Source organism: Homo sapiens, chromosome X (genome assembly GCF_000001405.40).
Source record: "Homo sapiens chromosome X, GRCh38.p14 Primary Assembly".
Classification (NCBI taxonomy): Eukaryota; Metazoa; Chordata; class Mammalia; order Primates; family Hominidae; genus Homo; species Homo sapiens.
In genome coordinates, this window is record NC_000023.11 from 50,073,551 (window position 1) to 50,099,610 (window position 26,060).

General features: G+C 40.4%; 1 protein-coding gene across 9 annotated transcripts in view, besides 1 other annotated feature; it reads left to right on the top strand.

The window, feature by feature from the left end:
• The window catches only part of CLCN5 (chloride voltage-gated channel 5), a 176,635-nt gene extending 150,955 nt beyond the window's left edge, over positions 1-25,680 (top strand). For all 9 annotated transcript variants that reach the window (NR_199781.1, NM_001440757.1, NM_001127899.4 and 6 more), the window contains 9 exons: positions 2,245-2,432; positions 7,044-7,166; positions 8,091-8,297; positions 12,430-12,510; positions 12,778-13,320; positions 15,148-15,334; positions 16,566-16,964; positions 17,120-17,336; positions 18,579-25,680. Coding sequence is in view for 8 of the 9 variants with exons in the window: in NM_001440757.1 (NP_001427686.1) it covers positions 2,245-2,432; positions 7,044-7,166; positions 8,091-8,297; positions 12,430-12,510; positions 12,778-13,320; positions 15,148-15,334; positions 16,566-16,964; positions 17,120-17,336; positions 18,579-18,669 (2,036 nt within the window). In the remaining variant the exon portion in view is untranslated. The remainder of the gene's footprint in view (positions 1-2,244; positions 2,433-7,043; positions 7,167-8,090; positions 8,298-12,429; positions 12,511-12,777; positions 13,321-15,147; positions 15,335-16,565; positions 16,965-17,119; positions 17,337-18,578) is intronic.
• Positions 16,290-17,489: an enhancer, noted in NCBI's record as "BRD4-independent group 4 enhancer chrX:49854497-49855696 (GRCh37/hg19 assembly coordinates)". NCBI's record gives its function as "activates an origin of replication core promoter dependent on BRD2, P300/CBP, MED14 and CDK7 cofactors, and independent of BRD4, by STARR-seq in HCT116 cells {active_cell/tissue: HCT116}" and the evidence as "EXISTENCE:reporter gene assay evidence [ECO:0000049][PMID:35650434]".

The following is a 26,060-nucleotide window of genomic DNA, read 5'->3' on the forward strand; positions in this document are numbered from 1 at the left end:
TAATAGCACTTATTAAGCACAGCAGACAGTTGTTAATGCTGCTGCTGCTGCCGTTACCAAGAGAGAATAATTCATGAGCCATGGAGTAGAATGTGACTGTAGCAAATGAAGAATGGCTTATCTATAGCTGGGTTTTAAAAAATTGTCTAGGGCAGGGATTGGCAAACTTCTGCTGTAAAGGAGCCAGATAGTAAATATTTTAGGATTTGTGGGCCAAGTGTTCTCTCTAGCACCCACTCCATTCTGCTGATGTGGCACGAAAGCAGCCATAGACAATAGGTAAACAAGCCCAGCTGTGACCAGAAAAACTTTATTTGCAAAAATAGGAGACAGACAGGATTTGGTCCTTGGGCTATAGTTTGCCAACCCATGGCCTAGGGTGTTAACTCTGCCCCTTCTGGCTCTTACAGGAGAGAGAACATGGTCTGGCTCTTTGGAGCTGCCTAATAATAGACTGGGTGGTCTGTAATGCTAAGTATTGCAGAGAGGCTGAGGACAAGGAAGATGGCTGAGAAAAGATTATATGACCTAGCAGTTAGGAACACAGCAATTACCTTGAAAAGCCATCTCAGAAAAATATTAGAAGCTAAATCTATTCGGTTTGTGCAAAAGTAATTGCATTACTTTTAATGGCGAAAACCGCAATTGCTTTTGCACCAACCTAATAGATTTCAAGGGAAGGCAACCACTGTAGAAGTTTTGGTAGTCATAGGAGAGAGAGGAAGGGTAAAGGCTTGAAATGATAACAAGGACAAGGGACAGCATTTTATTCTTCAGGGTAGGGGAAACCTAATACAATTTGTAACCAGAGAAGAAAGAACTGACTCTGGGGAGGAGGAGAGGTAGAAGGAGAAGACAGGATTGAGGGTACCAGTGTTAGGTGAAATAAGACATGTACACGTGAGACAACCAGAGAATAAGCCAAACTGTATAACATCATGGTAATTTTCCGAATCCAGGCAGTAACAGATAGAAGGCAGAGAAGATTGTGGACCGGAGTGGCCAAGAGTAGGTGTCAAACAATGTGTTAGATTTGACTAGATTCTTCAAGTATGTAAGTAACCTGTGTTAACACTTTTAGCACCTACCAAAACATACACGACATGGCTTCCCGCCCGTTGGAATGTAGGCATAATATCCTCAACTTTTTAATGTATTTCTTGTCACTAGGTGGTCAGTGAATATTTTTCTTTCCCTTGTACACACAGGGTATTTTGTTTTTAAGCATTGGAGAGCAACAATAGAAGCAGTGTGTCTGAATGCTGGAACAGTCTGGGAATTCAAGGGCTGTGAATTTTGTGATGGCTTTACTATTTCCCTAAAGCATGATTCTGGGCCATTTAATTTCTTTATGCCAGAGTTTCTTCATCTGGATGACAGAAATGATGAGAAGGCCAGAATCTAAATTACTATAACTGTCTTAACCCTATCAGTCTATTAGCCACAGTGCATCCTAAGTCCCCAGTTCACGATTCCATTTCCCATCATTTTCTTTGGTGAATGTTCTGTGTATAATACTGTTTGCTCTTTCTCAGTAAGAAAACTTCAGGATGTTCATGTCCTAGGTTCAGGAGGCCTCAACATGTCTATAGCTTCATCTCACCTTCCATGCACATCACAGTTTGTGCTTTGATAGATTCAGCTCCTTTAGCCTAGAATGCCTTCCTGCCATTGCTCAAATTCCCTTGTCCATGGAGCACAATCCTACTATTAAGGCTTAGCCCTTCTCCCCATAATCTTCGTCAGCTCTCCTCTCTAAGCAATCTCAAATAAACATCATAGAATATTCCTCAATGTTGGGCAATTCACATATTCTGAATCTTGTATATATGTATATATGTATATGTATATATATATATGTGAGAATAAAAGAATCTTTAATAAACTTGACTCTTTATGGATCAGTATTCATAAAGTTGAAGTCAAAATAGTGTTTTTGCCCTGTTAGTTCAGCTTAAAGACAGGCCCACTAGCCCCTTGCTCCCACTTAACCATTTTGCTTTCCCTAAGTCCCTTCTATGTAGAAATTCCACAGATGGCAGTGTTTAGTGCAGAGATAATAAGTGAAAATCAAGCAAACACACAATGAGAAAGAGGTTACAGGTGGAATGGGGAAGTATGTGCTTATCTGTTACTTTGATTCCTTTCCCCTCATTTTCTCTGACAAAGCTTATTCTGATGACCAAAGAACAGTTTCCGAGATTCAGTTTAACTTTGGCCTTTCCCTCCCTCCCCACAAATCAGGTTCGTTAGCTGGTTTGATAGACATCTCTGCTCATTGGATGACAGACTTAAAAGAAGGTATATGCACAGGGGGATTCTGGTTTAACCATGAACATTGTTGCTGGAACTCTGAGCATGTCACCTTTGAAGAGAGAGACAAATGTCCAGAGTGGAATAGTTGGTCCCAGCTTATCATCAGCACAGATGAGGTAACATGTAGTGATGTTTTATGAGCCATTGACTTTTCTTCTTACATTTATTTTATTTCTTATACTGTGCTCACAGCAATTGCGGAATCTTCCTTTATTTTCCTTTCCACAGAAAGGGGAACCAGTACCAGCTGCCTTTCTCTGTGGTTTAAGTGCAGCTCTATTTCCATCTCTGCTGATGTGTAGAGTCATTTGACGCTTATGTTTAAAATGGTTTTTTGTTTGCTTTACTAAGCCTGGTATTTCTTCTTAGGTACTAGTACATAGTGTGACTGAATTTCTCTTTTTCTAATCATTTCAAAAGAAGTGTCAGAGGCAGCCAACAGGTGAGCTATAATTTCTAATGAAGGACAGAGTGAGTTAAAAATGTGTTTATGTATATGGATTTGAAAAGTGATTTTCCCTGAGCATTGCATTAGAACATTGAAAAAAGTACAATGCATTCCATGTCAAAATAACAGAAACCCAGGAATAAAATTGCCTATCATCCCATTTTGTAATCAAATCAATATTTTCATTTGTCCTTGTCTTCTAGCATACGTTTTTGTTTTTTTTCTTGAGACAGGGTCTTTCTCTGTCACCCAGGCTGGAGTACAGTGACATGACCATAGCTCACCACTGCAGCCTCAACCTCCTAGCCTCAAGCAGTCCTCCCACCAGTCCTCCTCAGGAGTAGCTGGGACTAAAGGCGTGCACCACCACACCTAGATAATTTATTTATTTATTTATTTTGTGAAAATGGAGTCTTACTATGTTGCCTAGGCTGGTCTCGAACTCTTTGCCTCAAGTGACCCTCCTGCCTTGGCCTTCCAAAATGCTGAGATTACAGGCATGAGCCACTGTGCTTGGCCTACCATATGTTTTTTGATGCCAAGGTAACTTTGCTTATTTTTCAGTTCCTTACCTTTATTTTACCACTCAGTTATATGTTTGATCTCTCCCACTGAAAACAAAAGCACACAAAGCAAAAAACTCTCAACTCCCAATTCCACCCTGACTTCCACCAACAAAGACAGGTACCATCTTAGTTCACTACTCATCTATTTTGTTAGTGAGGGAAACAAGACTAGGATGTATGTTTGTACTTTTAAACATTTATATTACCCTCCTTGGTCTACAAACAATTTGAGGTGGCATGTGCACACACATACACAAATACAAACAGTCCAGGGAAAAGGAGGATAGAAAAAGAATAAAGATAGAAATAGGAGTGTTTATATACATGTATGACTATGCATCTTGGCTTAGGTAAAGGGTTCAATAAAAGGGATAGATACATGCCGTATGTTTGAGAGAGTTTAGGTCTATGCTTCTCAAACTAGGGTAAGGTCAGTGTGCCAGAGGGTAGGTGAAACTATAGGACAAACATTATTTGCCTTCCCAGAGCATTACTTTTTCCTGAATATTTGGAATTTTTTTTCAAAAATTATATGTAAATAATCATTTAAAAATGGAATGCAAAATTTCATACTTGTTAAGAAAAAAAAAAATCTTTCAGCTCTGCTCCCGGGTACCCTGTCCCATACTCTGATGCCTTTGTTTACTCTCTCCTAGATTAGGAGAACTTAGGTAGAAAAGTTTGAGAAGTCCTACAACTTAGGGTGGGTGTGAAAGAGAGAGAGAGAGAGAGAGAGAGAGAGTGTGTGTGTGTGTGTGTGTGTGTGTGTGTGTGTATTTCCCTTGCTTTTGGGGGGATTCTTTTATTTTAAATGTAATTGGCCAGGCGCGGTGGCCTGTAATCCCAGCACTTTGGGAGGCCAAGGTGGGTGGATCACCTGAGGTCAAGAGTTTGAAAGCAGCCTGGCCAACATGGTGAAACCCTGTCTCTACAAAAAAAAAAAAAAAAAAAAAAAAAAAAAAAAAAAAACATGTATATACACACATATATATATAAAATTAGCCAGGCATGGTGGTGAGCACCTGTAATGCCAGCTACTCAGGAGGCTGAGGCAGGAGAATCACTTGTACCTGGGAGGCGGAGGTTGCAGTGAGCCGTGATCGCACCACTGCACTCCAGCCTGGGCGACAGAGCAAGACTCTATCTCAAAAAAAAAAAAAAATCCTCTCCTCCAAGGACTGAGTGAGGTGTGCCTCATGCCTGTAATCCCAGCACTTTGGGAGGCTGAGGAGGGAGGATCCCTCGGGGCCAGGAGTTTGAGGCCAGCCTGGGCAATATATCAAGACCCCTGTGTCTAAAAATAAAAAAACTGGGCGTGGTAGCAACCACCTATAGTCCCAGCTACTCAGAAGGTGAGGTGGGAGGATTCCCTGAACCCAGGAGATCCAGGCTGTAGTGAGCAATGATAGTGCCACTGCACTCCAACCTGGGCAATGGAGTGAGATCCTGTCACACACACACACACACAAAAGTAATTACAGATTCATAGGAAGTTGCAAAACAATGTACAAGGAGGTCCTCAGTACCCTTCCCCCAGCCTTCCCTCCCTCAATGGCAACAGCTTGCATAAATGTAGTACCATAGCAAAACCAGGAAATTGACATAGGTACAATCCACAGACTTTAGTTCACCATTTAGTTTACACACATTGATTTATGTATGTATTTGTGTGTGTGTATGTGCGCGCACGCATGTAGTTCATAGTTCATTGCCATTTTGTCCTATGTGGACATTTGTTTAACCACCACCACAGTCAAGATTTAGAACTGTTCTATCACTGCAGGGCTGCCTCATGCTGCCCCTTTATAGCTGTATGTGTGTAAGCATTCCAACAGTTACTTTCAAACTGGAGCTTGAGATTTGCTCTAGTGACAGATTTCTCTGGCTCTTCTTTTTATGAACGAAATCCTTCCCTGGGGAAAGAGTCCTCTAGGTTTTGGTTTTTGTTTGTTTGTTTTTTGAGACGGAGTCTCACTCTGTCACCCAGGCTGGAGTGCAGTGGTGCGATCTCGGCTCACTGCAAGCTCCGCCTCCCGGGTTCACGCCATTCTCCTGCCTCAGCCTCCCAAGTAGCTGGGACTACAGGCACCCGCTACCACGCCCGGCTAATTTTTTTGTATTTTTAGTAGAGACGGGGTTTCACCATGTTAGCCAGGATGGTCTTGATCTCCTGACCTCGTGATCCGCCCGCCTCGGCCTCCTCTAGGTTTTAAGAAGCCTTCTCCAAATGCCAGGAAATTGCCCTCCTGGTCTCTGCCTCTGGCCAGTTTGAGTTACTTTTCCTTTCACTCCCTTACCCTCTTCATTTCCTACCTCTGCAGTCTTCTTCCTCCTTAGCTACATTGGAAAGGCAAAGAAATAGCAATCATGTGTTCCTCTGAGGGCCTAAGATAATGGAAAACCTGTGTCAAATTTACAACTCAGAAAAAACCTGAGCATTCTGGTTCTCTTTGTCTAGGTCAGTGAGTTACTTTAATAGTGTTTTGTGTTATGAAGTCAAAAGTCCATTGGGTTTTGTATTTACTGAGTGAGTTGCAATTCCTAATATTTCTACCAGCAAGCATAACTTCCTAATCAAAATTGCTTTTTTTGTAAGACATGACTATTTGCAGGCCCTTTAATATGGATGAATCTTTCCTGCTGGTCAAAGCTAGATTTCTTTTGTGGCATGCTTCATTTATCACAGGGGAATAGTCTCAAAAAGTATATTCTTTCTATTTTAAAAAATAGTTGTTTCCATTTTATTTATTTATATCTGGTACCACCAGGGTCCAAAACTTTCTACTTATATGGTTGTTCCTGAGTCTGTGGTACCAAAATTTTCTTGAAGATGTAGTTATATGTGGACTCTAAAAAAGAAAGTTGAGTAAACAGAACCAGAGAGCAGAATGGTGGTTACCTGGGGCATGGAGGAGGAGGAAATGGGGAGAAGTGGACCAAAGGGTACAAATTTGCAGTGAGGTAGGGTGAATAAGTCTAGAGAGGTAATGTACAGTAGAGTTAATAATGCTGTATACTAAAAATTTGCTAAGAGTATATTTTAGATGCTCTTACCACACATACAAAGAAAGGTAACTATGGAAGGTGATATGCATGTAAGTTTATTTCAATGTAGTAACAATTTCGCTATATGTATATATATAAAACATCATGTTGTACACCTTAAATACATACAATAAAAAAATTTTAAAAAGCAAAGAAAAAAGCCAAACACCCAAAATTTTGTTACTATAAACTATGAGAATTTGACACCAAGGTAAGTAGCCAAAGGTGAATTTAGTGGAACTTTAGATCCGCTCTTCACTTCAGATGTGAAGCCAAGGTTCAGCCATTCCAAAAAAGCTGGGGGGGTGCTCTTAAGACTCTTGGTAAAATGACATGGAATCATATATATTTGACTACAAAACCCATCAAAGCACTCATATAGAAAGAGAATTTTGTTTCATGGTTTTCCGTTTGCTCTTTTCCTTGTTCATCCTTAGAATCCATGGTAAATTTCCTTTGGGTGTAGCAAAGCATCTCATTTTCAGTACTAAGTGGCCTGACAGTGTTTCAGTAGTTGACAATTCAGAAAGAAAAGTCTTGAACAATTTAATCTCGGTGGTTTTTTTTTTTTTTGGACTTTTTTTCCTGAAAAAACATTACTCAGAAGAGCTGCATGTCTCACTGAAGCTGTCTAGGCTAAAACAAGCTTCTTTTTCCCCCTGTTCCAGGGAGCCTTTGCCTACATAGTCAATTATTTCATGTACGTCCTCTGGGCTCTCCTATTTGCCTTCCTTGCCGTATCTCTTGTCAAGGTGTTTGCGCCTTATGCCTGTGGCTCTGGAATCCCTGAGGTGAGTCTCTTAAAATGGTTTATAAATGGTTACAATATGAATACTTTTTGGTTAAAATCTCTTAATATGTATTCCAGCACATACCACAATTTGATGAATGTTAAACAGGATCAGATCCTGAGGCCATCTAAGACCTAGGTCTTTCCACAAGTCCCTCTCAGCCTGGGCTACCAGGAAATTAAAGGGAGTTGATTCTTAGCCTCCTGAGGGTTCCTGTTGAGCCAGGCTCTGGAAAACTTCCCCTGTTCCCTATCCAAAAAGCTTCCAGAGTATATCCCAAGATTCTGACCTGAAAAAGCAGTGTTATTGTCAGCTTTTTCAGGGCAAAAGAAAGAAAATCATTTGGTACCTTTCCCACAATATGATTTAGGCTACATGGGATGGTTAAAACCCTGTTTCTAACTACTTTTGGCTTAGATTGCTTGACAGTGACTAAAGACACTGAGACTTAGGTTACCAGGATGACTTTGCCCTTCCCTGTTTCCTGACCAGGTAATAAGTCACAATTTTTTTTTTTTTTAAGCCAGGGAATCAAGACTATACCTAACCTTTAAGGTTGTTTCAGGGACATTAGCCTTGTCCTCTCAAAACATGCCTCTTGGGCTACCACGTTGTAACATGAGGAAAACACCTATCCCTCCCTCTCCAGCTCCTCCTTCATATATGCACACTCTCATACTTACAATACATCCTTGCCCAGCTATCACTCCCCTCCCCCTAAAAAGGGGGAACATGAAAGCTTAAAGAACAGTTCTTGCTTTCTTGGGCTCCTGGGCTCTCTTCCAAACAGGGATCACTGTAGGTCAAGCATTTATATGTCACTTATTCAAAAGGTGCAGTTTCTATAATGAGGTCCAGATTTTTGCTTCTTAGCCTTGTTGACTTCCTTAGTCTATATTCAATCTTTCTGTGTTTAACCTGCAGATAAAAACTATCTTGAGTGGTTTCATTATTAGGGGCTATTTGGGTAAGTGGACTCTGGTTATCAAAACCATCACCTTGGTGCTGGCAGTGTCATCTGGCTTGAGCCTGGGCAAAGAGGGCCCTCTAGTGCACGTGGCTTGCTGCTGTGGGAACATCCTGTGCCACTGCTTCAACAAATACAGGAAGAATGAAGCCAAGCGCAGAGAGGTAATAATGAATGGCCTTAATAGTCTCTTTTTGGTTGTGAGCATAAATGATACAATCTTAGGGGGTGAGAATTTGAGAGTTCTACCAATGTTAATGCAAACACCCTTTGACCCAGCAATTCCACTTGTAGGAATTTATCCTACAGATATCCTAGCATGTGTGTGCACAAAGGTGTATAAGGATAGTGCAGCGTCTGTCAACATAGTAAAAAACTGAAGCAACAAAAATGTCCATCAATAGGGAACTGATCTAATAAATACTATTCTGTTCATACTGTAGAATACTTTGCAACCATTAAATGAGATAACCTTTTATATATTGACTTGGAATTCTGGCTATGAAACACCATTTGATTTTAAAAGCCAGTTTCTGAGTAATGTATATAATATAATTCATATTTTTTAAAAGTGTACATGCACTTATTGATAGAAAATGTCTGGAAGGTGGTTTTACCCCAAACTGGTTTTACTTTTTTTTTTTTTTGAGACAGGGTCTCACTCTGTCACCTAGACTGCAGTGCAGTGGCATGATCACGGCTCACTGCAGCCTCGACCTCCCTGGCTCAGATGATCCTCCCACCTCAGCCTCCCAAGTAGCTGAAACTACAGGCACGCACCACCAAACCCAGCTAATTTTTGTATTTTTTGTAGAGACGGGGTTTCACTATGTTGCCCAGGCTAGTCTCGAACTCCTGCGCTCAAGCAATCCTCCTCCCTCAGTCTCCCAAAGTGCTGGGATTACAGGCATGAGACACGATGCCTGGCTCACGTCAAACTGTTAAAAATGTTTATCTATGGTGAGTGGGAGAGTGAGGGGTAGTGAAGGAGAAGTAAGGATTTTAACTTTTTATTGTATGTAATTCTATTCAAGTATATATTGCTTCTCTTACAAAATAAGTTACAGAAAGAATAGATTTTAAAAGAAGTTGTTTATTGCTATGGAATAGTACATATAAGTGCAGTGTATGTTTCAGATGTCGGTTTTTTCACTTTCTATTTCTATCTAACACTATACTTGAATTAGTTTCTCTCTGTATTGGACCTCTCTCTACCTTTTGTTTCAGCCCAGCTAAATTAGTCCCGCCATGGCACCTCTGTAGTGGCTGTCATGTTTATGCAGTTGTTAATGTATGCTGTTTTGAGGAGGAAGGACTTTTTTAAAAAAAAGTTCCAAGTCATTGGTTTACTTTTTTCTTGCTATAATTAAGGGCCTAAGAGAATAATGGCTCTTGCTTTATTTTCTTTGAATTACAAAGAAGTCACATATGGAATGGGTCAAGACTAAGGTCATTTCACTTAAAAGGATTTTTCACAAAACAGGAACCTAATGATTTCTTATGAAAACCAAAAAAAAAAAAAAAATTAACCACAAGACCCAGAAGGAAACTCAAAGATATTGAGATTTCAAATATAGAATAAATTTTGTTGGTTCAAGGGAGAAAGGTCCTGGCACTGTTAGAAAGGAGAGGAAAGCTAGCAGGAGAGAAGATGGGGAAATATGAGTAGATTGTTTAACTACCTGTCATGCAGTAGAGGGACTTAAAGGTAGTGTTAAGTTGGTGAGGTTGTTAAATGGGAATGACATTCAACAGAAGGGAAGAGTTGAGAAAACATTTTTTTTCTAGAAGGGCTTTATTAGAACAGTTATGAAATTTGAATGAGATTTATAGATCAAATAACAGTTATTAGTGTAAATTTCCTATTTTGATCATTGAACTGTGATTATGGAAGAGACTGTCTTTGCTTTTAGGACATAAAAGCATTTATATCCTACATGCACTGAAGCATTTCAGGGTACATGAGCCTTATATGTGCAACTGACTTTTCTGAGTGAAATTCCAATTCTTCAGAAAAAAATAGAATCATAAAACAAATGCAGTAATGGTAGCAATTACAGAAGCTACATGAAGATATGTAGGACTTCTTTGTGCTATTCTTTCACCTTTTCTGTGTTTGAAATTTTTTTAAAAAAATATTATAATGGTTAAGAGTGAAGTGGTGATTGTTGCTGGTTTTGCATGGATGAAGGTGAATTTGAAACTACAGATTGCTGGGGACTTTCATTCTAAAAATTGGCATTTTTGTTCAAATAGTTTCTAATAAAATAAGAGGGGAATTCGATTTGGCTGTTTCTCTCTACAGATGCCATATATTTCTCCAGTTAGACTCATATGAATACAGTCATGTCTCAATGACAGGGATATGTTATGAAAAATGCATTGTTAGGAGATTTCGTCACTGTGCAAGCATTATAGATTGAAGTTACACAAACTTAGATGGTCTAGCCTACTACACACCTAGGCTTTATGATATAGCCTATGGCTCCTAGGCTACAAACATGTACAGCATGCGACTATACTGAATACTGTGAGCAATTGTAACACAATGGTAAATATTTGTGCATCTAAACATAGAAAAAGCACAGTAAAAATATAATATAATTTTATGGGGCCACCATGTTGTATGTGGTCCATCATTGACTGAAACGTTGTTACGTGGTGCGTGACAGTATTTGAATTGGTTTTTTTTGTTTTTGTTTTTGTTTTTTTTTTGGAGACAGGGTCTCAGTCTTTTGGCCAGGCTAGAATGCAGTAGTGTGATCTCAGTTCACTGCAACCTCCATCACCTGGGCTTGAGCAATTCTCCCACCTCAGACTCCCCAGTAGCTAAGACTACAGGCACATGCCATTATACCCAGCTGATTTTGTGAATTTTTTTGTAGAGACTGGGTTTTGCCATGTTGCCCAGGCCAGTGTTGAATTCCTGGGCTCAAGTGATCCTCCTGCCTCAGCCTCCCAAAGTGCTGGGATTACAGGCATGAGCCACCACAACCGGCTAGTATTTGAATCTTAAATTTACTTTCTAGCACTTATTTAGACTTTCCAGTTATTTTTTCCTGTTGCTTTCATCATCAGCGGCAACCTTTTTTGTCTTATGGCCTTGTCAAAGTGGGCAGATGGTTGAGAGTAAAACAGACTTGAGAAAGAAGGGTGTAGACAGACTCCACTCTACAATATAAAATTAAAGCAAACTAGCTACCCCGATTCTTTCTGTCTCTTGATTCATCCTAAACATAGTCACTGAAATCCCCTTTCTCAAGTTGCATGTTGGCTGTCCTCATCTTTCTTAAATGAAAGCCATTGTAGCTAGGAATTTCAAAGCCCTTCCAGCTAGCACCAGAGATTCCATTCTTTCCTCCCCATCATTTTCCTGAGCCATCCTACTCTTCCAGATAATCCTATATGCTTATTTTGCCAAGGACCTTTTTATTCTTCAAAACTCGTAATTTTGTTCAACTTTCTCTAAAATATTTCTTTACTTCTTCAAATCATCTCTCTCCATAGCAACCAGAATCCAATGAAAGGACTTGGTCCATCTATTAATTTTGGTTTGTTTGCCATTATTAGTGTTTGTCATGTACATTTTACATGTACACACACACCTACACAGAGGTGGAGGTCTCTAAGTATCACTATTCTTTCTCTCTTTATCACTTTTTCCCTTTGGCTCCTTCTTCCTCTCCCACTCTCTCCTAGTCCCTTTCCTTGCCATATCTTAAGTCTTCCCTTAAAAATCTAGTCACCTCCCTATTTCTGTGTCCATAGGTTATTGGGCATGGAGTAGGACACAGGGTACGAGAGACTCTAAATACCTATTGCATGAATACTTGCAGCTGCTGAATAACTGTGAACCAATTGTGACTTCAGTTTTATGTCATTAGAGCCTTCTTGAACATCTCATTTAAAAAGCATTCCTTTGCAAAGTTCCATATAAATAAATACATCACTGTAAGTACATCATTTAGATGGTGAACAAATAGGCCTAGAAATTCAAATGCAGTTACTGAATTGGGAGTATGGGAGATAAGGGCGGGGGGGCGGTGCATAATTTAGAATAAAACACATGGCTAAATGAATTACAAAGGAAAGGTCCTCTTACCTGGTCAAGCATGTGAACTATGCATGTGTATTCAAAATTCAGCATACAGTGTTTGAATTTTGTTTTTGATGATATGGAACATCTAGAGGTATTTTTAAATGTTCAGTAACTACTAACATTTCTTCTAAAAATGTGATTGAGTGATTGAGGAAAGCAGCATTATTCTGTCACTAATTCTGAGTTTTGGATTTTAGGTCTTGTCGGCTGCAGCAGCAGCTGGTGTATCTGTAGCCTTTGGAGCACCTATAGGTGGAGTATTATTCAGCCTTGAAGAGGTAACAACTTTTCATTGTACAGCATGTGCATGCTTTTGTGTCAGGAATTTTGTACATTGCAGCGCAATAATTTTGTACATAATGTACAATATCTGTGTATATCCCAGTCCCTGAGTGCTCTCCCCAACTTGGTGCTTTACCATGTGACTAGAAATCCAGTCGGCAGTTTTCATCCATTAGTTGACTCTCATGCCTGCAGCACAACATTTCACCTGAAATAGTTTCTGCGTATTGACTGAGTTTGCTTTCTCACCTTCTTTCTTCTAGGTCAGCTACTATTTTCCCCTCAAAACATTGTGGCGTTCATTCTTTGCTGCCTTGGTGGCAGCATTCACTCTACGCTCCATCAATCCATTTGGGAACAGCCGCCTGGTACTATTTTATGTGGAGTTTCACACCCCATGGCATCTCTTTGAGCTCGTGCCATTCATTCTGCTGGGCATATTTGGTGGTCTGTGGGGAGCACTGTTTATCCGCACAAACATTGCCTGGTGTCGGAAGCGAAAGACCACCCAGTTGGGCAAGTATCCTGTTATAGAGGTACTCGTCGTGACAGCCATCACTGCCATCCTGGCTTTCCCCAATGAATACACTCGGATGAGCACAAGTGAGCTCATTTCTGAGCTGTTTAATGACTGTGGCCTTCTGGACTCCTCCAAGCTCTGTGATTATGAGAACCGTTTCAACACAAGCAAAGGGGGTGAACTGCCTGACAGACCGGCTGGCGTGGGAGTCTACAGTGCAATGTGGCAGCTGGCTTTAACACTCATACTGAAAATTGTCATTACTATATTCACCTTTGGCATGAAGGTGAGGAATTCTTTTGGGACTCAGTGGCTGCATGCGTAGCTGTGGGTTTTGGAGGGCAGAGCCCAGGTATCATACAATCCTGATAGCTCATATGGTGCTTTCAAATCCCCCTCACATTATTCCCCCACCCCCAAAGCCTCTTTTACCCCACACGTTCTCATAATTTGCTAGACACTTGTACCTCTATCTCAAATTGTCCAAGCCTTGAGTTGTCCAAATGCCAGCCTCAGTGATGAAATTTTAGGAAGAATGTTTGCTCCTTTTCTGTGGAAAACATATTTTGCCCCTCAAAAATGATGGTGAAGTATTTATTCCAGTACATTTCATATTAAAATGATATCTGACCACCACAGTGTTACTCCTTATAGGGTGGCTTTAGAGTTTACCAATAAAGCACAATATTGATTGAACCAAAGAAGTTGCTGGGATTCGACCATTTTGACTGCTAAAATGGCAATTTCCTGTGGTTCAACCCAATATATAGCTAAATATAGTTTTTTACAGTGGTATCAATGTTCAGTTGTCAAGAAGTGGGATCCACTTCACAGGTGATCCTTAGTTAATATTTAAGCTATCAAAAGTGGACATCAGGCTGGCACGTTTTACTTTAGGTACCTGTTACCATTTCCACGTTTCAGAAGAAGCCAGAAAAGAAAATTTGTTAAGGTATTTTCCTCCTCCTTTCTAGGTTTTTGTTTGTTTCTTTCTTTTCTTTAGCACCCTAACTACCAAGTTATTTTCCTCTATTCTCTAGAGAAATGGAGATTCAAGCCAGAAGAGATAGCAACTCAGTTTAGGCATTATTGTAATCTCTAAGATGACGCCATCCATCCCCTCAATACAGGGAAGGGATGGAGACCCTGAGAAATTTTGCAGTGCTTCTTGAGTTAATTTTCACCTCATGCCTGCATTCTTTCACTTAAAGGGAATTTGTAAACCATCAGAACACCAGATTCAAATGCATTCCAAAATCAAACACAGGCTATTTTAAAAGAATCTGCTGTTTTGGTTATCCTTATCATCATTTCCCTCTCTCAGTACAGAATATTAAGAATTTACTATAGTATCCTAGGAGTCAAGAAAAAGAGTGGGGAGATAGATGAGCTTTACTTTTTTGGTTAATCTTGTAACCATAGTCATGATCTCATTACAATTTTTTAATTGTTTAATCTTTCTTGATACTGTTACAAAATAGACTGAAACCTCATGTGCTATATCCTTTTTGTGTGAGCAATGGGCTAAGATTCAATATATGAGCATGGTTATGAGCATTCCATTTAAATCCCAGCACCAGTCTTTACTAAATCTTGACCTTGGGTGGGTTACTTAACCTCTCTGAACCTTAGGTTCTTTGGCATTTGGGAATAATAATGCCTGCCTCCTGGGGTTATAAAGAACCCATGAATCTTGCATGTAGAGCGTCCAGCATAGAACATGGTAGGTACTCAATAAAGGGTAGTCATTGTTGATAAGAATTCAAAATTGGTGGAAATGTCTGCATATATGAGAAACTCCATCTATTTTCCTTTTTCTTTGGGAAAGGCCCAATTTCTGCCTCCAGTTCTGTGTTGGTCTGGAGAGTTCAGGCTCTTGCCTGATGGACCCCGAATCAGGGTAAGCTTCTTTGCAGTCGTCCTTGCCTGCACGTCCCAGAGAACCTCTAGTCCCTGTAGTGTTACACACACCTTTACAGCCACTTGCTAGCATAGTGCATAGTTAAATTGTCATCGGCCTGTTTGCTTTGCAGAGGGTCAGTCCTCCAGCCCTTACCATGTGCCAAGCAATCACATCATTTCTCACTAACCATCTATTGGTTTCTCTTTGCAGATCCCTTCTGGCCTCTTTATCCCTAGCATGGCTGTTGGTGCTATAGCAGGTCGACTTCTAGGAGTAGGAATGGAACAGCTGGCTTATTACCACCAGGAATGGACCGTCTTCAATAGCTGGTGTAGTCAGGGAGCTGATTGCATCACCCCCGGCCTTTATGCAATGGTTGGGGCTGCAGCCTGCTTAGGTGAGTAGTGTTTGCATTAATTTCAAGTTGCTACCCAGGTGACATACAACAGAAGAGTTTATTAAACACAGTTGACTGTAGGAGAATTTAAATGCCCATCCCTTTCCAGTTAGGTTTGCCATTTTCCAAGCACATTAAGAAAGCATCTGGTATACAGATGAGGAAACTAAAAAAAATAAAAATAAAAATCATAATAAAAAAGAAAAGGAATTCTACTCTCATACTGGGGAAATAATCAGAAATTTAGACAAAGATATCTGCACAAGAATATGTATCATAGTATAAGAGCAAAAAATTAGAATCAACCTAAATTTGCACTTGAGGGACTGGTTAAATGAATTATGGTACATCCATATGATGTTATACAATGCAGCCTTTAAATGTGATGTTAATTGTTAATATGTTTAACATCTTAAAATATGATGTTATATAAATTTGTAATAATATGCAGAATGTTCCCAACATAAAGTAGAGGGGGAAACATGGCAGAAAATTAAACATATAATGTGAGTTCACTCATTTAAAAACATATGTTTTTGCATAGAAAAAAACTTGAAAAAGTCATTCAGAATTTTTACTCTGCTTATTTATTGGCAGTCAGCTAATAGATAATGACTTTCTTTTATATTTTCTGGATTTTCCACAATGGCATGTATTTTCTAATTAGGGAAAAGAAGCAACAGAAAAATGAAAGAACAAAGAAACAAGAAGGCATCTTGGACTGGACATGGTAGCTCACACCTGTAATCCTAGCTACTTAGGAGGCAGAGGTGGGAGGATCACTTGAGGTTAGGAGTTTGAGACCAGCCTGGGCAACATAGTGAAACCCCAATTCGACAAAAAATAAAAAGTTAGTTAGGTGTGGTGGCACATGCCTGTAGTCTCAGCTACTCAGGAGGTTGAGGTGGGAGGATCACTTAAGCCTGGAAGATGGCAGTTGCAGTTAGTAGTGATAATGCCAGTGCACTCTAGCCTGGGTGACAGAGCACAAAACCCGTCTCAAAAAAAGAAAGAGAGAGAAAAAAGAAAAACAGAAGGCTTCTTGTAGATGTTATTTTGAGAACTCTGAATCGTCTCCATTGTGACCTTGCTTTCTTGCAATCTCTGGGGTCTGCACAGTTGTAGGTGAGACCTCATTGTTTTTGGTAGGTCAGCTTTTCCTGGAAAGGCCCATAATTGTAAGAATCCTGTATTTTGCCTACCTGAGTAGACTGTGTCTATTTCTTTGCAGGTGGGGTGACTCGGATGACTGTTTCTCTTGTTGTCATAATGTTTGAACTGACTGGTGGCTTAGAATACATCGTGCCTCTGATGGCTGCAGCCATGACAAGCAAGTGGGTGGCAGATGCTCTTGGGCGGGAGGGCATCTATGATGCCCACATCCGTCTCAATGGATACCCCTTTCTTGAAGCCAAAGAAGAGTTTGCTCATAAGACCCTGGCAATGGATGTGATGAAACCCCGGAGAAATGATCCTTTGTTGACTGTCCTTACTCAGGACAGTATGACTGTGGAAGATGTAGAGACCATAATCAGTGAAACCACTTACAGTGGCTTCCCAGTGGTGGTATCCCGGGAGTCCCAAAGACTTGTGGGCTTTGTCCTCCGAAGAGATCTCATTATTTCAATTGGTAAGGATTTCAGAAAGGGGATAGTGGAATCCACTGTGGAACTCAATAAATATGCCTGAAATGGGGGAAGACAGGGAAGGGGGGACTGGTTAGGAGCCAGAAGGATAGAGCTAGCACGTCCATCTTCAATTTGTTTTTTCCTTCTGTTTGAATAGAAAATGCTCGAAAGAAACAGGATGGGGTTGTTAGCACTTCCATCATTTATTTCACGGAGCATTCTCCTCCATTGCCACCATACACTCCACCCACTCTAAAGCTTCGGAACATCCTCGATCTCAGCCCCTTCACTGTGACTGACCTTACACCCATGGAGATCGTAGTGGATATTTTCCGAAAGCTGGGACTGCGGCAGTGCCTGGTTACACACAACGGGTAAGAAGTCTTGAGTGAAGTCAAATTGAATTGTGGGAGAAAGAGAATGCAGAGATAGAAAGAAGTAGAAAGAAGTAGAACCCAGTTTAAATGAACATTAGTAGCACTTTTAGGACTTCTTGAAGCTCTGAGATGAAAGTGGATAGGTTTTTTTAAATCATAATTAATGTAAAGGGAGTTTGGGAAAGAACATGTGTTTGAGAGATGTGAACTGCTGGTTGCATATTATAAATAACCCAGTTCCTCCCTGACAAAGGAAACACCTGTGTTTTGTGCATAGGCAGCACTGAAATTACAGTAGCATCAGGTAATAGTGTATTTGCTGGGTGTTTGTTCCCTACAATCTCCTTATTATTACTTGAGGATGAGAAAACCAAGTTTCAGTGAGGTGAGATTTATACAAAGTTCTCCAGCTAATAAATAGTAGAGAAAGGCTTTAAACACAAGTCTTCTGACTCCCAAGCCCATGGCTCTTTCCTTCCTGGGATAGTTCTTATCCAGTAAAGGGAACCCTTCTATTTTTATTGGAAAAGAAAGGAGGTTGAGGAGAGGGGTGGATTTTTTTCCCAAACATGCTACGTTAATCCAGCAATTATATAAGAATTTCACATCTGAAATTTCTAAATGGTGTAACAGATGCCTTGCAGGATTTAAATCAGTAAGGGGAGTTCCCTAACTGGTTCATTCAACATCTGCTGAATCCCTGCTCCATGTAAGAAGGTACTCCACTGGATTCCAGGGAGACACAAAAATTAATAAGACCCTTCTGTGCCCTCAAGGAGCAGACAGTGTTTTAAGGAAGGCAAGAACCTAGCAGTGGTTATAGTACAATAGCAAAGAGGACAAGTGCCACTGAGGAGGCCTGCAAAGAATGTGCATGCTGTTGCTGTGAGGAGGGCAGAGTTCCTGCTGGCTCATAGAATCAGGGAAGGTGCTCTGGAATAGGGGCGTTTGAACTGGGCTGCAGTAGATAAGATTCAGATATGTAGCGAAGAGTATTTAAACCAGAGGAAATCGCAGGGTCTGAGACCTAGAGGTAGAAACACTTGCATACATTTAGGAATCCACACATCATCCTATTTGCCTGGGGCACATGTCCTACTCCTGTGATCTCATACTGAAAGGGCAGCTAGTGATCAAAGACAAAGTTGAAAAGGACTGAGGAGGACAAGTATCACCTTTGGGAATGCTATTTTAACTACAGATTTATTTTTGTTTTTTTGTATTGTGTTTGTCTTTTAGGCGATTGCTTGGAATCATTACCAAAAAGGATGTGTTAAAGCATATAGCACAGATGGCGAACCAAGATCCTGATTCCATTCTCTTCAACTAGAATCATAGAGTTCTGGATGTAAAGCGGGAAGGACATTACAGACCATGGATATGTTGTATTAACTGGGTACCCAAAACACATTTTCCATATTTGGATGGTGAAGTCACATTAGTGTGTTGTCTCTTTCCTACAAGTTAACCAGTTGCACTACATAATCTCTGGAAATTAATTTTCTCTTTAGGAGAAATTATAGTTAGGCTTCCATGATGTTACATTAGGAAGATATCATGAAAGAATAAATAAGATTGCTATGGTTTAATTATATTTGCTTTTTAAAAGATTTTTTTAACTTAAAAAGTAGTTAGCCAATATGCAATCACTGAAAACTATGCAAGAGAAATTCCAACCGTCCTGACCTATAACCTGTAGGAAACCGACGAAAAAGTCACTCTTTTGGGATCTAACTGTTGTTACTGGAAGACGAAGTGTAAACTAAGGGGCTTTGCTTTTCAAACCAGAGAAAGGAAAGCCAGAAGGAAAAGAGTAATGGTATTTTCTAGACTGTGAAGATTCAGTTCAAATGTTATCCTTGTTCCTGTTACAATATTTAGCATTATTAGTTTGTTATGTGTGTATGTTTATGTTAATTTTAATTTCTGATTATAAGACAATGCTGCTTTGGTTAATCTCTTCTAAATGAATTTAGAGAGATTGACTTTTATAGCTTGCTTGTTGCTGGTACTCTTTTGAAGTGCACAAAGATAAGTTATAGAGCTTTCTCCTTGTCTGCAAAAACGGTAATTTTCCAGGTGGCATTTGTTAGCTGGTAGACAAGGACTTTGCCGTGAATTTGTTAGTAGCAAGGAATGATTTCTTCCAGCTTCCTTGAAATGAATAATTAGTAAACTTCTAAGCAAAGTCAATGACTAGGAGTTTCACATGTTTGTGAGGTCCTAACTAATTCTCTTACCCAGATGCCACCTCCATGAATGATGGTGCTTTAGGCTTCTGGAATATGTAAAAACAGCAAAGGGAACCAAGTCTAGACTGCATACTGGTAAACCAGGGAAGACTCAGAACTGCATATGCATCCTCATGCATTCCTTTGTAAAGACCACCAGTACTAAAATAACTGGACACTCATTGTACCTCCCAGCGATAAGTATGTGTAACAGGCCAGTGTGTTGTCCCCATGATCATGAATTAGGCTTGGGATGCTTCCAAATATATTCAAGGTGTTGGAACAGGATAGGCAGCTGTGACTCCCTCAAGAGTCCTTAGAATTCTAAATAAAATGCAGAGCCATCCTAAGACACAGGGGTATGGACAAGGCCTGGTGACACCAAAGGTGCTTGTATCCAATTGAAAAGGTGCCTGTCTCAATTTCATACCACCTTTATTGCAGTTAAAAAAAAATCACACTCTGGGGACACTTGGTGGAATTACAGAGCCACCATCATCATTCCAACCACTATTTCATTTTCTGTAGTTTTACCTGTGTGCAATTACTCCCCCTCCATTCTGTTCCACTTCTTACTCCTTAGTACCAAATCCTCTGTTTGGGATTGAGCGCTGCTCCTGGTTAATCATTCCTACTACAAAAAAAAATAACTCCCAGGGCTAGTTAAATTGTAAACCAAGGCTCAGCAGTCTCACAACACATGGACCAGAGGTGACACACAGCCATTTCCTTTGCCATGTGGCCCAGTTGCTGCTGCCATGCCTCCATTTCCACACTGGATGCCTACGGCAGTGAGATTTCACTGCCGGGGTAAGAGTTCAGCCTGGATGATTTTATAGCTCTGTTCCTAGCACTTCTCATCATCCTTCCAGCCCAGAATCAGCGGTCATTCTGCATATTCCCACCAACCCTCTACCCCCAAACACTTCAGTGTACCTCATTTTAAGAGTTGCTGATCCCTGATTCTAGGACGTTTTTACCCATAGTTCTTGTCTTTCCAAAATCTGAAATTCTTTTTTTTGCTCAGAACTGGGTAGCCAAGGGTTATTTTATTTTTATCTTTAAAATAATCAAGGCAGTCGCTAGAGTTTCTCCTTGTGAATAGATCACTCTAGCATTTTAATGAAAAAGAAAAAAATCTTTCTGGGGTATGTTGTATCATAGTAATGGCTCAGTAACCACATATTTTGTCCTTTCCATGTCACTGATTCCTTCATATGAGACTATTTGGCTTGACTACCCTGTATATTGTGTAGAAATCAAAGTTCTTATCTGTACATTTCTGGTCCAATACCTGTCTTATTAGTTGTCCTTCCCCACTAAAGTTTGCAAAACAGAAAATGTTACTATTTCTGGTATTTAATGACAATGAAAGGTTTGGTCATATTTCATAGTGCAGTAGCGATAAGGAGGGTGTCTCAAGTTTGCTTTTGTGTTTCTTCTAGGCTTTGTTCTTGATTTTAGACAGATGAGCCAGTGTTAAGGTGCTACTTCAGAGAATAAATTAGAGAAATCAGATAACACTGTGCCAAGGTATACTTTGTAGATGCTAAGCACCGATTGGCCCTCCAGAGAATGACAATATCCCTTTGATACCTCACTCCTGATCAATCTCATTCATTAACCTCAGCTTCTCAGGAATCCTTGTAGCTTGTATGCTAGAAGTAGCTATGGTATATGGTATCCACTATATGTCCAGTCCTATGGTTTGGCTCAAAGGTTGGCTAATTGCAGCTAGAGCTCTCAACTGCTAGCTCAGCACCTTGACATTTGAAGTTTCTTGTCTTGAGGAGAAGGAAAATGTTCTTTCTGCCATTGCCACTTTAACAGTTGGACATGCTTAAGCAACAAATACAGCCAGTATAGGGAGGACTGTCAGTAGCATCAAATGGCCACATACCTCAATGGCAAAAGACTAGATGGTTTGTGATTTAAAAATTAATGAGTCGAGATGAGACTATTTTGGTATTAAATGAGAAAATTGCCTAACACAAGGGAAGGGTTTACAAAAGAATGCCAATTAGTGTTTCAACAGAGTTAGGATTTTCCAAGTAAGAGTAGCTGGTAGCCATCCAGCCATAAAAGGAACGAGAGTCTATAGATTTGTAAAAGTAAAACTGCTATATTTTGTATCTTCAAATCTTCAATATAAAGAATTTAAAGAACCTGAAACAGTTAATGCATGATTCGTTATATTGGAGGGAAAAAGCAGGGGACTGATAATACAAAATAATGGCAACTTTAAAGATCATTTCTACGTGGATGTTTGGTTAGAAACATATTCCAATGCTCTCCTCTTTCTCTGGCCACAGCATCCTGGCTCAGCCCAGCTGTGGAGTAGAGGTGGTAAGATCCACAGAACAGATATCCTCTGGTAGATAAGCTGACATTGATGATACTTTGAATTTACCAGCTGGTGAAGCAAACGATTAATTTGTGATTGAACTGAAAAGCAGTTGAATTGTTTTGACACCAGAGGCTGAATCTAAACCCTTTACAGGAAGAGCAGAGCATACTATACATTTCTTAGCAGATCTTCAATTCTGTTTGAACATGATGAAGTAACCAGGGTTTAGTGAGATCTAAGGCCGTGAAGTAATTCACAACCAAGATCTTATGAACGCATTCAGATGTGAGGGGGGCAAATATGTTTTCAAAAACTTAGTGTGCAATAGAGTCCATTATAGAAATTAACCACTGCTATATGTTTTAAGTAGTTCAATCACCTGTTGTGGTTCAGTCTTGATTATTGTTTATTTTGTTAGGTGATAAGTAGGAAGATGCACTTGTTATCCCACACTATCTCTTGTTTTGTTTTGTTTTGTTTTTAAATAATGAACAGTGCAATCTTTGAACTTGAGTTTTTAATAATGATAGCAAAGACAATGGTGAGAACTTGAAACAGCCAGCATATTTTATATTGCCAAAGTACTTACTGATGACTGACCACACTGTCTTGTGAGGAACTGGGTCCCCTGCACTGGATCAGAGCCAAATGCAAGCCACCCATCAGTTCAGAGGAAGCAGGAAAACATCTTTTGGGTGGTGCATAGAACATTGAGCTCTTAAAAACCCGGAGAAAAATTAGGAATTTAGAAAGTAAGTGGGAGGTAGAATATTGAGTCCTTTTTTAAAAAAAAGAATTGATGTCTAAATATGTAGTCTGAACTTAAGTGTCCTAAAACCTTGTTTTTTGTTTTTTTGTTTTTTGAGGAGTCGTCTTGCTCTATCACCAGGTGGGAGTGCAGTGGCACAATCTCGGCTCACTGTAACCTCTGCCTCCTGCCTCCCGGGTCCAAGCAATTCCCCTGCCTCAGTCTCCCAAGTAGGTGGGACTACAGGCGCACACCACCATGCCCAGCTAACTTTTGTATTTTTAGTAGAGACGGGGTTTCACCATGTTGGCCAGGATGGTCTCGATCTCTTGACCTCGTGATCCACCCATCTCGGCCTCCCAAAGTGCTGGGATTATAGGTGTGAGCCACCGCACCCAGCCAAACCTTGATTTTTTTAGCCACCTCTGGGATTGCCTGGGTTCCCTTTGGAGAAGAAACTAAAAGTTATGGCCATAGAAAAAGCCCTGGTAAGAAAATATTTGAATGGTGTAAGATGGTGGAAGGAAAGCCATCCCACACCCCTACAACATATGTTCTGGCATTTATAAACTGCTTGATTGTGTGCCTCAAGGGGAGAAAAAGTCAAGCAATGCTTCAAAGGCCAGGCTTTCTAAGCAAATGAGTGGTTCAAAGCAGTGTTTGGCTCAAGGGCAGTCTGGTTTTATGGATAGGGCCGACCCAAGACATCTGCTCATGAAGAAATGTGGCATCTGTTGCCATTTCCTAAACTATAAGGTTTAGATAGATTGTCTTGAATTTTGATAGCAAATTTTTTTAAATTTATATTTCTGCCTCCTCGTACATCCTTATATATGGAAAAAAAAGTAAGAGTTCCTCAGATCAGAGCTCAGTAGCTGTGTCAATTTGAAGTTCAATCAGTGTAGTTGTCCTGGGGTGATCGCTGACTCTGCTCTGTTTCATATTTCAGTTGCTTGCTCCAAGGAGAGAATTTCTGAGAACAATGGGTGTTAGCAACTTTAAGTTACTCCCCAAACGTTTGCTGGCCACATTCTCATTTCTAAACATCTGGATCTGGGTAAAGGTTTGAATAGATGTAGGGAACAAAATTGGTTTTTCCATGGTGTAGTCTAATTTTGCCAAATCACCCAAGAAAGAAAGTATATGACGTGTGGAGTTTGCATTTCTTGGATGGGACCTATCGGGTCACCCAGCCCAGTCTTACAGTCATAAATTCCTACCTCTTAGTTCCTGCCAAAGGGCCTTCAGCCTCTGTGTGCACACTTATTGAATGAATGCTTTGCCTAAAGTTTGGCCTTTTGAAGAAAAACAGCATGTGATAATATAAAAATATGAGAGTTTAAAAAAAAAAAAGATCTCTGCCTCTCTTCTCTCTGCCTCGTCCCACCTTGCTGTCTGTCTCATTGTCTTTCTCTCCCCTCACCATGCGCTGAATTCAGATTTCTCTTTCTTTTATTATAGGCATGTTGTTTTGAATGTGGACTTTGTGGGAGGGAGAGGATTGTTCTGAGAACAGAAACTGGAAGATACGTCTGAGTTGATGGGACCAACAGGGCTTTGCTCCTCTGTGAGGGCCAAAGCCATTGATACTTGTCGGGGGTGATGAGGGCTTTAGCATCTCAAGGCAGACATATGAAGTATTTACTGCTAAACTATATTACTTACTAGTACAAATCTGTTGGAATTCAGGGGCAGTCTAAGATTTGGTGAGTGAAATGCCATCTGGCAAAATCGAGAAGAGAGTGTGGCCTGAGAGGGGAATGTTCAGCCTCACTGTCACATTAAGGGTACCTCAAAATACATGGTCCTTCCAGTGTGTTCCTTTTCCTTCCTCCATTTCACTTTGTCCCCTCTTCTTCCTTTCTCTCCCATTTTCCTGGCTTTTTAGCACTCAGCTTTTTTTTATAAGTATGTATTTACTTTTTATTATATATTTGGTCCTTTGGGACTTTGTGATGATTAAGAATTTATTCCATTCAGGATTTTAAAATGATGTGTTTAATATTTTGTTCTCTTAAACTCTTTTGAAGCTATGCTGCTAACCAGGTATAGGCCAGAAAGGAGGTGGCCCAGTCAGTACCTTGCTCACGTCAGCTAAGGGGGACAGTGATGTCATGTGGGTGACTCTTCTTCATTTGACCAAGGCCAGCCTCCTGTTCTTACCTCTGCCCATTCATTTCTGGCTATGGGAAAACTACCACCTGTTGAGTGAGCCAATGAGGCCAGGAAGATCAGAGGGGCTGGGTTCCGGCCCATGGGCCACTATTTGAATTTCTCTGTAGTAAGCTCTTTGTAGGGCTGGCTCCAACTGCAGTAGCCAAAGAAAACCTGTCTGACTCGACATTTTAATGCCTGAGAGTTGGTGAAAGTTCAGCTGAAGCTAATGTCTAGACATCAGCAGTAACTAGGCATCCAGAAAGTAGCTTCAACCAAAGCTAATAGAGCCCAAGTTTCCGCAGGAAGTTTGGTGCTGAGCTGTCCAGAGCAGTTGTTTATCTGAGTGTTGCTAGCCCTTAGCCATGCTTTCTTAGCTTTATTCTCGCCTGTTCCTAGGCATAGCCTGAACCAGAGCTATGGCTCACTGCTCGCTTTATTCTACTCCCTAGTCATGCGGAACAACATAGTCTAAAAAGGAAGATGTGGACTGGGGAGTTAGGAGACCTGATTTCTATTCCCTATGCTTCTACTAACTAGCCTCGAGATCTTAACCGCTCTGTGCCTCAGTGTTCCCATCTGCAAAATGGGGATAGTGTTAATTGCCCTACCTACCTCACAGGGTTGTTGTGAGGATAAACTGAGACAATGAATTCAAAGCAAGTTGACAAGTAAGTGCTATGCAAATTGTAAGAAATGGAAACAATCATGTTAAAAGCAATGGAATGGACATTGGCAGAAGGGTTAATGGATTGTCCAGCCCTTTCTCTGTGTGGCTTAAACCCAGGTCGCCATTGCTTTATACATTTTCACTTAGCACAGATTTGTAATTATGCATGTAATAAAGCACAGCCTTATCCACCCTGGTGTCTGGTGTGTTTCTAAAGACCCTAAACTTGGTAGCTATTGATTTCTGATCAGAAAACCACAGGGGCAGAGTGGAAGGTTCAGGGGAGGGTAGCACAAAACACAACTGCAAACCCCTACTGGCAGGCCCACTGCTTAAAAAGATTTATTAAATAGTTATTTTCACATTTACAGACTCAGTAATACTCTTTACCATAAGGAGGCAAATAAGAGGCAGCTTGCGTTTTTGGAGATGTTCCAGATACCCGGATACCTCATTCATTGTGGCTACTTAAATGTTCCTGTCTCATACATTGGTGATACTTTCCTGATGATGTGAGAATTGGCTGGGAGCTGTATTTTTCTCTCTCTTTGAGCTCTTAATGATGTAAGGT